We start from the raw sequence: 14,882 nt of genomic DNA, 5'->3' as shown, positions 1-14,882 counted from the left end.
GCAGAGGTTGCGGTGAGCCGAGATTGCACCACTGCGCTCCAGCCTGAGCAACAAAAGCGAAACTCTATCTCAAAAAGAAATAAAAATAAAAAGCATAGAACTAGAAAGGAAGGTAGTTATGTTAAAGTAGTTATCAAAATATTTTTAAAACAAATTTTTGATAAAGAAACATATATTATTTGTTATCAACACAGTAAGTAGCAAGCTCCAGTGCTGGGCTGGACGCTAAGTGACACTGCCTCAAAGTGATGGCCGTGATGATATTCTCAGAGCTCTACAAGGACCATGATGTGACATGGAAATATTGGTGATTGCTATGGGTGACAGCCACAGAAGTTGCTAATAATACCAGTGTGGTTTGTTTCCTCCATCCATAACAGAAAGAAATGCTAAACTTCAGTCAGGGGTCAGTCAAAACAAATATGCAACTTGTGCCCATGCAAGCTCATGAACCCCAGGTTCAGACCCCTGCTCTAGAAACTCTCTTCCCCTTGGGCTCCAGGAGATGCCACAAGCCCCTAGACTTGTCTTCCTCCCACTTTGTGGTTCTGTCACTTAAATGCTGGGCTCCTCCAGCCCCCAGCCCTCTGGTCTCCCATCTCCTCTCCTGGACTCCATATCCACTTCCACAGCCTAAATGACTATGGCTGAGCAGGTCCCAAGTCTGTCCCAGCCCCAGGAACCCTGACTGCTGAGCACCAGGCCTCCCAGATATAGTGCTGGGAAGTCTCTGGGAACCTCAGATTCATCACGTCCAGAAGAGATGTATCATATTCTTCCCAGACCACTAAATTCTCCCCCAGCATGTCCCACCTCCATGAAGGATGCACCCCCATCACCAGTCCTGGAAGTTTTCCAGACTAGAACTCTCTGGAACCTCCCTTCCCCTCGCCCCACATCTATCTCGGAGATCTGTCCATTTCACCACCTAAACCCTTCCTTTCTGCCCACTCCTCAATGCCCCATTGCCCCAGGCAGGCTGCATTCTCTCCTTCCTGAACAGCCTTCTCCTGTAGCCTCATATCCTCTGATACATCCCCCACCTCCATGGCAGCCAGAGAGCCCTTTCAAAACCAAAAGCCTTCTGTGGCTCCCCACTGCCTTCTTTCCAAAGTCCTTGGCTTGGCATACAAGGCCCTCTGTGACAGCACTCTTGGTCTCCCTCCAGCCTCATCTCAGGCCATACAACCTCTACCTCCAACCTTGCCTGCCAGGATGCACTTCATCAAAAGCTGTGCTGCACACCTACTATGTGCAGGGCCAGTGGCCAAGGTCTAGGGAAGAAACAGGCACTCTTGGAACATGGAACCCATCTTCAAGGAGCTCATAGTCCAGCAGAAGGTGAGGAGAATAAGCCAGATACAAAAGGCCTTGTGAGTGGTTCAAAGGATGAGTGATCGTGCCCAATATGGGTTTTTTCTGGGCATTCAGCAGACAGTAGAATGGATGAGAAATGTGGAAGGATAATCAACAAGCATCTGCCAAACAAATGAATGGATAGATGAGTGGATGGATTGATGGTTGTGTAAATAGGGTTTTGGGTAGTGGGGTCAATGTTGATTAAATAAGTAATTGTTAGGAAGATGTGTGGATAAATGCATGAATGTAAAGGTTGAGTGGAGGGATGGGTGGATAAGCAGACGAATGCATGAAGAGATGGAAAGATAGGTAAATGGATGAATGGCTGGATGGATGGGTGGGCGGGTGGATGGATGGATAGATGGATGGATGGCTAAATGGGTGGATGAATGGATGGATGGATGGATGGATGGATGGATGGATAGATGGTTGGATGGTTGGCTGGATGGATGGATGGTTGGATAGATGAATGTATGGTTGGTTGAATGGATGAGTGGTTGGAGGGTTGGAAGGGTGAATGGATGGACAGTTGGATTGATGAATGAATGGATGGATGGATGGATGGATTGTTGGATGGATGGATGGATGGATTGTTGGATAGATGGATGGATGGAGAGATGGATGCATGCATGGATGGCTGGATGGATGGATGGAGAGATGGATGCATGCATGGATGGACAGTTGGATGGATGAATGGACGGATTGTTGGATGGATGGATGGATGGATGGATGGATGGATGGATGGATGGATGGATGGTTGGGTGCTTGGATGGAAAGACAGATGGATGGATGGGTGGGTGGATGGATGGAGGGATGGATGGATTGTTGGATGGATGGATAGTTGGATGCTTGGATGGATGGATGGTTAGATGGATGAATGGATGGTTAGATAGATTAATGGATGGATGGATGGATAGATGGATGGTTGGATGAACGGATGGAGTGATGAAGCAAAGAAGGGTGGGTGGGGAGTAAAGATGGGTGAGTGAGTGTATGGGGGAAAGATGGGTGGGTGGGTGTATGGGGGAAAGATGGGTGGGGGGGTGTATGGGGGAAGATGGGTGAGTGGGAGTATGGGAAGGTAGTTGGGAATGTGACATTTCAGTAAATGTTAGCTCCAGGGTTCTAATCCAAGTCTATGTGACTGTACCATCTCCTCCTCCTCCTTCAGGGATCCCCACTCTCAGTCTTGGTGCCCTCCCTCCAAGGCCCTCGACTCCATACTGTTCTACACTTTCAGAGCTTCAAGAGATCTCAGAGACTGCCTGGGCTGGGTTTTTCAGACTGAGTGCCACTGAATAATTCTTTGTCACTGGGGCTGGATAATTCTTTGCTGTGGGACTCTATCCTCTATCCTGTGCACTGTAGTGTACTTGGCCTTTACCCACTAGAAACCAGTAGCACATCCTCCCCACGTTGGAGCAACCAAAACCATCTCCAGACATTATGAAGTGTCCCCTGGCAGGCAAAGTCACCCCGATTGAAAACCACTGATATAGCCCACCCCACCCCAATTTTATGGATAAGGAAACTGAGACCCAGAGAGGAGGGGTTACTTGCCTGAGGTCAAGCTTGTACTTGGTGAAGCCCAAACTGTACCTTGGGGAGAGTCAATCCATAATCATCCTTTCACTGTGACATGTGTGTGGGGCTGGGAGCCTCCCCCACTGCTCCACTGGGAAAAGCCAGGTATAGTCCTCAGCACCCCCTGCTCTGTCCACCTCCACCTCGGCCCTCTTCCCACGGCTCTGCACAACAAGCCTTCACATTCGCACAGCACATCTCAGCCAACCAAGCCTTCTCCTCCTGCTTGGAAGTGCACTCAGAGAGGCCAGATAGCTTGCTCAGCATCACACAGGATAAGCACCGGTGTCAGGATTTGAACTTGGGGAAGAAGAGGAAGACTAGAGAGCAAAGCATGGCTCCACTCGGCAGATGAGGATAGAAATGTGAAAGGTGGTCCTACAGGAGAGCTGGAGACAGATTAGCAGAAGACATCCTGGCTGATTAAAAAGACTTATTGATTTCTCTCCAAGGAAAATAAATGAGGCTATTTGTCTCTCAATGGGACCATGAGGCAGTTTGAGGGAGGCAGCAGGGCAGAAGCCCAGGTAGGATGGACCAGTAAAAATCCAATCATGTCTTAAATTCCCTGGCAGGGGCTGGCCCTTCAACAGCCGGCCAGCTTGCTTTCTAGTTCTCCTTCAATTATGAGACTTCCCATCCCATCAGGTCTCCCATCCAAGCCCCCACCAGGCTGGGTGGCCCAGGACAGGCACTTCGCCTCTCTGTCAAACGGGTGACTCAGGGCCGGCTCAGCTGCTGGGAGCAGGAACGGCACCCAGCATACAAAAGGCCCCTCATCCACACCGGTGCCTCCCCTCGCAGTCTTCCGTTCTGCCCTCCAGAATCTGGACCCCAAATGTCCTTCCATCCTCATGCACATCCTCTCCCAGCCCACACACCAGGCTATTAGCAACCTGGTGACCCTAAACTCAGCTCTGAGCCCTTGATCAGGCTGCTTCCTCAGCCAGGAGGCCATGCCCCATCCCACTTCTCTGCCTCCCCACTTCTCCCCTCCCGCTCTCTCCTGCCCTAGCTCTGAGGCTTCCTTCTTCATGGGAGGAGGCTCCTGTGGCATCCCCACTCAGAACAAGCTGGCTGCCCTGTTCTCCTGTCACTCATGCCCCCCAGAGGTTCCCTCTACCCAGCCTAGGCTCCACTTTCCTTCACAAGAGTGTGATTCGGGTGTGGCTCTGCCTCCTCCATCAGGCTGGGGACTCCTTAGGGTCACCACCGGGTGCCCAGGCCTGGTGTACTGCGGTCCCACATGACATGGCTGAACAGGCCTGGGGGCGCCTCCACTCAAGCCCAGACCAGTGTCCAACACATAGCTGGGCTCCAACACTTGTCGAATGAATGGGTGATCAATCCATCCATCGGTATCCATTGTAGGGGCCTCTTACCTGGTTTCTATGCCTCAGTCTTTCCCTCAAGCATCCTCCAGTCTGCTTTGGGAGTCACCATTCTAATAAGTGAATTTGCCCAAGTCCCACCCCTGCTAGACACCCACCCGTGGCCCACAAGACCAAGTGTAAGCTCTAACCTGGCATTTGACACCCTGCCATCCAGCCCCTGCCCCACATGGTTCCAGCCTCACTAAACCCCTCCCTGTGCCCTACCGTGTTCCCTCTGCCTGGAAAACCCTCCCTGAACTGTTCTGGAAAATTCCTATTTATACAGCAAGACCCAGGCTGAATAGCCCCTCCCCTAGGCAGGCTTCACCAGTGCCCCCAGGTTGGATCAGGGACAGCCTTGCAGTTCTCTTTACACGAAAACCTCCATGCCAGGGTACCTGAGGTTGCCCTGGGGGTCAGGCTCCTCCAATGCCTGCTGGGCCCACCCTGCTGGTCAGTGAAAGTGCAGCCTCCGCTCTGGCCCGGCTGAGCATCCCTGGGAATGGTGCCTGAGGCTGACTTTTATTTCTGAGAAAAACAACTTTCTCCACAGCAGTTGGAGGGAAACGGACAATTTCCCAGACATGTGTTGCTGCTTCCAGTAATGCTGGCCTCCCGTCTGGACAGCCCATTAGGCCAGGACTGAAGGCGGAAGGGACACCTCCCCCTCTAAAGAGCCCCTTCCCCAGAGATATGGCTTTGATGTGTGTCTCCTCCAAATCTCCTGTGAAACATGATCCCCAATGCTGGAGGTGGAGCCTAGAGGGAGGTGTTTGGGTCATGGGGTGGATCTCTCCTGAGGGGCTCAGTGTCCTCCCCTGGATAACAAGTGAGTTCTCTATTAGTTCATGTAAGAGCTGGTTGTTTAAAAGAGCTTAAAAGAGGCTGGGCATGGTGGCTCAGACCTGTAATCCCAGCACTTTGGGAGGCCGAGGCTGGTGGATCGCTTGAGGTCAGAAGTTCCAGACCAGCTTGCCCAACATGGCAAAACCCCATCTCTACTAAAAATACAAAAAACTTAGCCAGGCATGGTGGTGGGCGCCTGTAATCCCAGCTACTCAGGAGGCTGAGGCAGGAGAATCGCTTGAATCTGGAAGGCAGAGGTTGCAGTGAGCAGAGATCGCGCCATGGCACTCCAGCCTGGGTGACAAGAGCGAAACTCTGTCTCAAAAAAAAAAAAAAAGAGCTTGAAAGAGCCTTGCACCACTCCCTCTCTCTCCATGCAACACACCTTCTCCCCTTTGCCCTTCCACCATGAGTAAAAGCTTCCTGAGGTCCTGACCAGAAACAGATGCTGGCATCACACTTCTTGTACAGCCTGCAGAACCATGAGCCAAATAAACCTCTCTTCTTTATAAACTACCCACCCTCGGGTATTCTTACACAGCAATGCAAACAGACAGATACAGCCAGCCATAAGCGGGCTAGGGTAGGGATGGCTCTTACCTGACAGTCTGGGTCCTGAGCTTGCCTTCTCTGGCTTTGCTGATGACTCAGTGTGTGGCCCTAGGCATGGCATGCTCCCTTCCCGGGCCTCAGTCTCCCCAGCCATGGTTGGAGAGTTGGCACTCGCTGCCCTGTACCCTCTTAGGAGTGCTCAGAGAGTCTGATGGGTCATGGTAGGTGGGGAAGAGCTCTGTGAACTGGAGAGTGCCTGAAGCTTGGCAGCGCCAGGCCTGTGCTGGGCATTGGAGACATGGTAACGTCAGAGGCGTAAGCCCTGTCTTCCAGGGTGTCATAGCCCAGTGCAGGGGACAAAGCTAGCAGCAAACAACTACTGGGAGGACAGAAGGGCAGGGCCCACGTAGGGCTGAGGAGGCTAGTGAGGAAAAGGGAAGACTTCCTGCCGATGGTGCCTGGAAGTTGGGCTTGTGGGGCTGGTGGGGTTGAGAACCACGGCGATGGGGAAGGGCATCACAGGTGGTGCCCAGCAGGAGCAAAGGCAGAGGAGGGGAAAGGCTGGGAAGCCTCAGCAGCTGGCTGGGGCTTCAAAACAGAGCACTGGACCCCAAGGGAAAGAACGGGAAGAATAGGGCTGGAGGATAATAGGCAGATGGTGGAGACCTCGAGTCCAGGCTCAGTTAGCCGATTCCCAGGAGCTACGGGGAGTGAGGAAAGAATCAGCACACAAATGAAGGGAGGCAGGGAGCAGTGGAGCAGGGCTGGGACAGCAGCCCCTCCGGGTACACAGCACTTGACAGCAGACAAACCCCCAAGGAGGAAGGCGAACTGGGGAGGAGAGGGGGAGCCCAGGGGAGAGGTGACTGCCAAGGTCACACGGTTTTGGGTACCTGGCCCAGTGCTCTCTCTGCAGAGCAGGGGAGGAGGAGGGAGGGTGGTACCAGTCGTCACGTGGGGCAAGGTCCCAGGAGCTGCCTGTGTAGACAAGAAGAGATGGAAGAACCCAACCCCAGACACTCCCAGTAGCCCCACCAGAAAGGACTGGGGGCAGGGAGGATGGAGATTAGATTAAGGGAGGACTTCCTAATAGTTCAGAGCTCCCAGAGAGTCCCAGAGGCCTTTATCCAGAGGCCTGAGGCCCTGTCTGGAGCAGAACTGAGAGGTGGCCTGCTCAGAGGCAGGGGCAGGGGCTAAGTGACCAGGGCAGGGACAGCAGGCGATGGGAGGAGGTCTTCTGCAGAGATGGCGCCATTCCTCTCCCAACACACTTACAGCTCTCCAGGCCCCACTCCCCACCTTCCCGCCCTCCCACCTCCAGGAGCCAACAATTTCCCACCCTGGCCAAGCCCTAGGCGTCTCCGCCCATTGCAGGCTCAGGACCCTGTCAGCGACTCCGTCAGCTCCAGTGTACACACAGCTGCCACTCAGCACTTAGTTTGTCCATGCTTGCCCCAGAATTCTCATTGGATCCCCCTTAATATCCCCAACTGGGGGTCACTGTGGCCCCCATTTCACAGATGAGCAAACAGACGCTCAGCAAGGGCAAGGAACTTGGCCAAGGCCACTGGTCTAAGAAGCCAGGAGCAGATCTTCCTTCACCTGGCAACCAAGCCACCGACCCTGGGGTCACCTCTGAGTCTCCATCTCCTAACGCCAACCCTAAAGGAGCCAGGGCTGCACCAAGCCCCCTCTCCAGGCCCTCAGCCGGCACGCTGGTCCACCGTCGTTTCTCGCCATCGTCCCACAGGCGCCTCTCGACGGGTCTCCTGGCTGCACAGCCAGAGCAGTTTTCCTCCTGTACAAAAAGACCAGAGCTGTGCTCCGCGCAGTCCAGGTTCACAGCTCACACTCAGGAAATGCTCGGTGGATGTACTAATGACTGGGAGAACAATGGATGAACACGAGCCATCCCCTCCTTCGACAGCCTCAACCCTCGTCACGCGCAGCACAAGACTGGGCTTCGAGGGGCCATGAGGAGACCGGGCGCCCTGGCCTCTTCTTGCCCAGTGCCAGATGAAACCAGTGGATGCGAGAGGCAGGGGTCTCCACCAGGTGCATGGGCAGAACCAGATGGCCGCTTAGAAGCACAGACATTGGCTGGACGCAGTGGCTCCCGCCTGTAATCCCAGCACTTTGGGAGGCCGAGCTGCGCAGATTACCTGAAGTCAGGAGTTCAAGACCAGCCTGGCTAAAATGGTGAAACCCCGTCTCTTATTAAAAATTCAAAAATTAGCCCGGCATGGTGGTGCGCTTCTGTAATTCCAGCTACTCAGGAGGCTGGTGAAACCACGTCTCTACTAAAAACACAAAAATTAGCTGGGTGTGGTGGTGAGTGCCTGTAATCCCAGCTACTCAGGAGGCTGAGGCAGGAGAATAACTTGAAACTGGGAGGCGAAGGTTGCAGTGAGCCGAGATCGCACCACTGCACTCCAGCCTGGGCGACAGTGCGAGACTTGGTCTCAAAAAAAAAGAAGAAGAAGAAGAAGCACAGACATCCAGACCCCAGCACTGGCAGGCAGAGAGCTGGAGCCAGACAGGGGAGCAGAAGCAGACAGAAGTCGGCAGAGGGGCAAGGCGCGGTCAGGAGAGAACCAGGAACACGAAGGCACAGAGGCGGGGGCCCACCCACGAGGAGGGCGGCCGGGAAATGGGTGCCCTGGACAGCCCCTTCCAGACCTGGTGCCCAACTTTCCCCATCCCACAGACAGGGAGACGAGGGCGCAAAGGGTTATTGGGCAGCTGGCCTCTCCTGCCTCCCCGCAGGCTGGCGCCCTCCCCTTTCCCGAGCAGAGAGGCGGCCTTCACAGCCGACTGGCTTCCGCACTATGCATCACTGCTTCCCACCACAGCAGAAGCGCCACTGCCCCACTGCCTGGAAACGGGAAGCTCCTCTCTGCCCTGGTGGAGTGTGGAGAACCTGGTGTTTCTCCAGACTCTGCAGGTGGCAATGTTGTCCTGAATAAAAGCCAGGACTGGGGAGGCACAGAAATCGGGGTTTTGATGCCAGCTCCGCCACAGCCTGGCTGTGCAACCCTGGATAAAAGTGACTCAACCTCTTTGAGCTTCACTTTCCTCATCTGTAAAATGGGGCTATGAGAGCCCCTATCCCCACGGGTGGTTATGAGGGTTAAAGCTGACAAAATGCTTTCAGCAATCAGCATCAGCTCTCATCCTGCACATTTTTGTGCTGGACACACCGCTGGGTGCTTTACAGGAACCATCGCTAATCATCTTTAATCAACCCATTAAAGAGATAAGAAAACTGAGGCTCAGAGAGGGGGAAAAGGAAGTGAGTGCAACCCACTCTGGCCCTTCACTCATATGCAGCCAGCTATGCTCCTAAGAAAGGCTCTGAAGGCCAGGCACATTGGCTCACCCCTGTAATCCCAGCACTTTGGGAGGCCGAGGCGGGCAGATCACTTGAGGTCAGGAGTTCAAGACCAGCCTGGCTGAAATGGTGAAACCCCATCTCTTATTAAAAATTCAAAATTAGCCCGGCATGGTGGTGCGCTTCTGTAATTCCAGCTACTCAGGAGGCTGAGGTGGGAGAATCACTTGAACCCAGGAGGCAGAGGTTGCAGTGAGCCAAGATCATGCCATTGCACTCCATCCTGGGTGACAGAGAGAGACTCTGTCTCAAAAAAAAAAAATGAAAGAAAAGAAAGAAAGGCTCTGAAAGTCTAATCTAGGGTGGAAAATAATAATAGGTTTCAGGCTGATGGCTCCCCATAGCTGCCAGAGGTGCCCTGCTGGAGAATGCCGGCAGGCTCGATTAGCAATGTCTGCACTGATGGGGGGCATGGCCACTAGCAGCAGAACAAGCTCAAATCCACCTAAGTTAACAGAGATTGGGTCTGATGTTCCTTGGAAACAATGTCCTCTGAAGGTGTTATGTTCTATCTAAAGACCTGTCCCCAATGTCTAATTGAATCTACAGCAAGCAGAGTGTTGACTCAGCAGTACGTGAGGGCCCTGTTCAGGGTTCAGGCACAGGTAATCAGAGTGATAACCACACATATGGTGGCTTTTCCAGTTCCCAAACTCCACTGTCACACTGTCCTGCTCTGTCCTCAGTGCAATCAACCCTGTGGAGTGGGTATTACCACCCGTGTTTGACAGGTGGGGAAACTGGGGCTCGGAAATGTTAAGAAACTGACCCATGGTCACACAGCAAGAGACAGAACCAGCCTCTGGGTCTGTGTGATTCAGGTGCCCAGCGCTTTCCACGGTGCCACACGCCACCTCCCCGTGATTCAAGTAGCACAATGTATCCCCTGACATTTCGAATCCAGAGGCCTTGCAGCTGCATCTGCAGCTGACAGCCCATGCCCACGGCCCAGGCCAGGCAGGGAGCGGTGCTGACATATGGGCGAGTGGCCCTTTCCCACCCCACCTTGCAGGCTCCACAAGGGTCCCAGCAGCCTGCTGGCTCTCCAGTGAGTCAGGCGGTGACTCAGGGCCTAGCTCCGGGCTGGAAGAGGAGCTGAGTCAGGGAGCACCAGGCTTCAAAGAGCAGCTGGCTCTGGGCCAGGGCCCCTCAGCACCAGGACATGAGCTCAGGACAGGCTGTCTGGGGGACCCTCCCATGCTGCCCTCCCCTTCCCGGGCCTGGCCATCATGACAGCAGCTCCCACCAGCCTGACTCTGATGCTACGCACCCACCACCCCTTTGGGTTCTCAGTGGGGGAAAGAGTCGCCCTTTGCAGGGTCTAGACATGTGAAAGGTCATTTATGGTAGTCACAATGATTGAAGGACACTACTACTATTGAATATGCAAGACAGACAAGACTACAAAGCACCGTCAACCCCCAAATGCCAATGGTGTCCCATTGAGGAGTACAAGCTTAAGCACTGCCCCAGGCCCCCTCCCACAGAGCACAAGAGGGAGTGAAGTTTCCAGCCAGGAAAGAATCCTAGAGGCTTCAGCCCCTGCCCCACCCACACACGCACCCCATCCCAAGCCCCTAAAGCCCACCCTGAGCTCCCCACGACTGAGTCTCTGCTCCAGGGGACAGCCCTATGGACAGCCACGTCTCCTGGGTCTCTGTTTGTGGAACCCTCCTTGGCCCCTCTCCCACCTGACCCAATTCAGCTATGAACTCTCAGGCCAGCAGCGGCTGCAGCCACCGGGTCCAGAATCCTCCAACTCGTAGGCACACAGCATCACAGCCACCAAGTCTTAGGCTCACACACTCTTTGAAACACAGAATTTTGCAGCCTTTGAATGACAGAAGCTTAGAATTTCAGTGTCGCTGAGCCTTAAATCTTAACTTTGAACCCTTAGACTGTCGCAGAAGTTTTCAGTCTGAGTGTCCCAGAGCTGACACCTTTAAAGTTGCTGTGCTTTTGAGTCGCCACATCTCTGGCCTGAAGAGAGTCCGTATCCCACCAGTTAAGGCCGAGACCTGAACCACCTCTATCCCAGTCCAGCCTCAGCAGCCCTGGCCATGGGGATGCCGGGGGAACCCTCGCTCTGCGCAGCTCCCGGGACTGAAAAGTCCCTCCTGATGGAGGGGGGCTGCTTTCTGCCCCACCCCTTGGACCCAGGGCTCTCTCCAAGACAGACAAGAGGCAGGCCCAGCTCCTCCCGAAACCAGTACTCCTCTCCCTCCTGGGCCAGCCCCACTGTTGTCTCCAACCCCAGGCCACAACCCACATGACCTGAGGATGGAGGTGAGAGGGGTGGTGAAAACCAAGGAGACAGTGGCCCCAAGGACTCTGTTTGCCCAACAGGCCAGAAATATGGAAAACTGGGTGGGTTCCCAGGGGCTGGCTCACTCAGTGGTCAGGCGTCAGGGTGCCTGAGATCAAGGCAGCCCCCATGGCGTGTGTGGCTAACACCCTGGGCTCCCAGGGCTGGAAGGGGTGATTCGTCTGCCGTCTCCTTTTTAGGTGGAGGTGCTGAGGCTCAGAGAGAGGAGACTGCCCAGGGTCACACACATGGCAGACAGGACTTGACCACCCCCATCTAGGGGCCTCTCCGTGACACGTGGGCAGCACCCCAGCCAGCCCAGCCAGAGCCCATCAGAGACGCAGCTGGGTCAGACTCCCAGGCCAAGTCCTCTGAGCCATGCCCCTGCCTCCAGCCCAGAGCAGTATTGCCCATCCAGACCCCCTAAGGTTCAAAGAAGCAAAGTGACTTACTCATGGTCACACAGCACCCAAGTGACAGAGCCAGAATCAACTCTTGTCATCTCACCCAGGAAAGGCCCCTGAGACATTGTGAAATTGTCCCCCTGGTCCTCCTACCAGCCTTTCTCTTCCTAAAGGCCCAAAATTCCTGCGGCCGCCCCCTTCTCAGGCCTGGCACTCCTCTGTTCACATGCCACAAGCCCCTGAGGTTTCCCCAGTGCTTTGTATTAAAACTAGCCACGTAGGCTGGGCACAGTGGCTCACACCTGTAATCCCAGCACTTTGGGAGGCCGAGGCAGGCGGTTCACGAGTCAGGAGTTCGAGACCAGCCTGACCAACATGGTGAAACCCCATCTCTACTAAAAATACAAAAATTAGTAGGGCATGGCGGTGGGTGCCTGTAGTCCCAGCTACTCGGGAGGCTGAGGCAGGAGAATTGCTTGAACCTGGGAGGCGGAGGTTGCAGTGAGCCGAGATCGCGCCACTGCACTCCAGCCTGGGTGACAGAGCGAGACTCCATCTAAAAAAAAAAACTAGCCAAATGGGTGGTCCCTGCTTCCCTCTTCCCCGGGCACTCCCTGGGACAGACACCAGCTCTGCCTCTTTGTCCTCAGTGTCCCAGGGCAGATGTCAGTGAGTGCTGGGTGAACTAATTACCGAGCAGACCCTCTCACCAAGCCTGAGACGCTGTGAGCCGTCCCCCAGAAGGAGCAGGGAGGCTCTTAGCCCCCACCCAGCAAGGAACACCCAGTTCTGCATCCCACTCCAGCAGAGACCCGCTGGTTTCCAAAAGTTAGGGGGATCCAGGGCCCACGATCACCTCAGCCCCCTACAGAAGGGAAGCCTGGCAGTCCTGCAGCCAGTCTCAACATCCCAGCCTGCATCTGGCATCCCTGGATTCCAGGGCAGGACTCAGGCCTGCACCTGACCCACCAGCTCCCCGCACCCTGCCCTGTGTGGCCACAAGCACCAGAACCTCGAGCCACATATGGGCATTTTTTGGTGGGACCCTCAAACCACAAGGCCACCATGGCTTGGGTCCCCAAGCCTCCTCCTCAGTGGTCCCCAGCCCCCACTTCACCCTGCAAGCCAGTGCCACACAGTCCTTCCAGAGCACAGATCTCTCCAGACCCTGCTTCAAATCCTGCCCTTGGAGCACAGTCCCATCCCTCATGCAGCCTCCAAGGCCCTGCAGGGCTCCCGCCACACCTGCAGCCTCACCTCACTCCTCTCTGCCCCTCAGGGCTCCAACACTGCCTGCAACTCCTCCCTTCTCCAGGCTTCGCTCCTGCCATGCCCTCCTCCTGCCTCCCACTACCCTCTCTACCCAACCAACGCTCTTCCTTATTGAGGAGTCAGCTCTGGCATTGCCCATGTACACCCAGCAAACACTGCCAGAGCACCCACGATGTGCCAAGCACTGTGCCAGGTGCTAGGGTCCCCATCCCAGTCATCTGACAGTACCCCAGGGGAGGCAAATGTTAGATTCAGAATTCCACAGTTAGATGTGACAGTTAGATATGAAGCAGAGGAGGAATCCCAGAGGGCTTCCCTGAGGAGGTGATGCTTAAGCTGGGATTTTAAGGATGTAGCAAAGGATTTGGCCAGGTCCAGGGGGAAGGGAAAAGCTTTTCAGACAGGGGGAAGAGCCAGTGAGAGGACCCTGAGGCTCAGAAGAGCACAGGGGGGAAGCCAAGTGGTGGGAAGTGAGGCTGGGTGGAACACACAGGCCCTGATGGGTTGGATTAGGACTTTGCTCTGCACCTCCAGGACCATAGCAAATCATGACAGTCTTAAGCAGGGGGAACATGAGCCCACTGGAGGCAGCAAGTGGAGGCAGGAGGCCTGGGAAGAGGCTGCTCGGAGGCACAGTAAGGAGAATGAGTCCTGCCCTGTGTGTTGGGATCGGCTGCCCCGCTGCCCACGCCCACAGTTCCTGATCACGGCTCCCATCCTCTGTATGGTCACGGCCCATCAGGTGGCTCCAGAGTCTGACTGATCTGCATTCCCAGCCCAGCACAGGTCTGGGGCCCACACTCAAGGACTTTCTGAGCCAGCCAGCCACTGGACTGACCCCACAGCCACCAGCAACTTCCAGAACCTTCACATCAGCAGAACACCAGGTCCTCATCCATTTGAGGTCTCCCCAGACCCACCCTCTGAGCTCGCTCACCACCACCAAGGCCCAGTGGCCTCACCGCAGACCTCAGGTCTCCCAGCCGGAGCAAGGTGTGAGCAGCAGGACTCAATCCAGCCCCCCACCCTTCAGCCCCTGCAGGGCCCCGATCAGCCGAGGCTGCGGAGGATATGGGTTGCACACCATCTTGATGCACCAGTTCCGGGGGCTGGTGGTCTGTCGCAGGCAGAAGAAGGCAATAGGCGCCAGGTCTGGGTGTGGGACATGAGGATCAGCTCCATCCAGAGGCTCCTCCAGGCCTGGCGGGGAGGATGGGGGGCTCCGGGGTCCGGGCTGCTCCGTGGTGACTCCTGGCTCAGCGGCTGGGGCTGCTGCAGATGAGGAGGGCGGGGAGGCGCTCTCAGCCATGTCCACACTGAGCTGGGAGCCCTGGGGAAGACAGAGAGGGTGGCACGTGGTGGGGACAGGCCTGGTACATGCTCCCCAACCTGCCTCTCCACCAATAAGTGGACGGATGCAGCTCTGACAGCCCCACCTGAGCCCCACAGGCCCCTCACCCTCACTCTTGCATGAGGATTACGAAACAGCTGAGGGCCCAGCTGCACCCAACTTGGAATCTGCTTCCAAGCTGGGTGATCATGGGGCAAGTCTGCTCACCCTGGCTGAGCCTCAGTTTTGGCAAACGAAGATAGTGGGGAGAATAAAGCCTTCTTAGAATATAATTGTGATATTAACTCTTTTTTTTTTGTCTATTGGCAATTTTCTGTATTTGAAATCTTTCATTATTTAAGAGAAAAAATGTTTAAGTAATTATAGACAGAAAAGAAAGACGGAAGGGAGGGAGAGAGGGAGAGAGGGAGGGAGGGAGGGAAGAAAGGAAGGAAGGAAGGAAGGA

At 55.1% G+C, this 14,882-nt stretch overlaps 1 protein-coding gene across 2 annotated transcripts in view, besides 1 other annotated feature; it reads right to left on the bottom strand.

Moving 5' to 3' along the window:
* Nucleotides 1-14,395, bottom strand: part of CACNA1I (calcium voltage-gated channel subunit alpha1 I) — a 118,983-nt gene extending 104,588 nt beyond the window's left edge. For both annotated transcript variants that reach the window (NM_021096.4, NM_001003406.2), the window contains exon 1: nt 14,160-14,395. In NM_021096.4, the coding sequence (NP_066919.2) occupies nt 14,160-14,395 (236 nt within the window). The remainder of the gene's footprint in view (nt 1-14,159) is intronic.
* Nucleotides 9,875-10,376: an enhancer, noted in NCBI's record as "H3K4me1 hESC enhancer chr22:39970777-39971278 (GRCh37/hg19 assembly coordinates)". NCBI's record gives its function as "activates a minimal SCP1, AML or CMV promoter by ChIP-STARR-seq in primed H9 embryonic stem cells {active_cell/tissue: H9 hESC(primed)}" and the evidence as "EXISTENCE:reporter gene assay evidence [ECO:0000049][PMID:30033119]".

Source organism: Homo sapiens, chromosome 22, assembly GCF_000001405.40.
Source record: "Homo sapiens chromosome 22, GRCh38.p14 Primary Assembly".
Lineage (NCBI taxonomy): Eukaryota > Metazoa > Chordata > Mammalia > Primates > Hominidae > Homo > Homo sapiens.
This window is presented reverse-complemented; position numbering and strand designations above follow the sequence as displayed.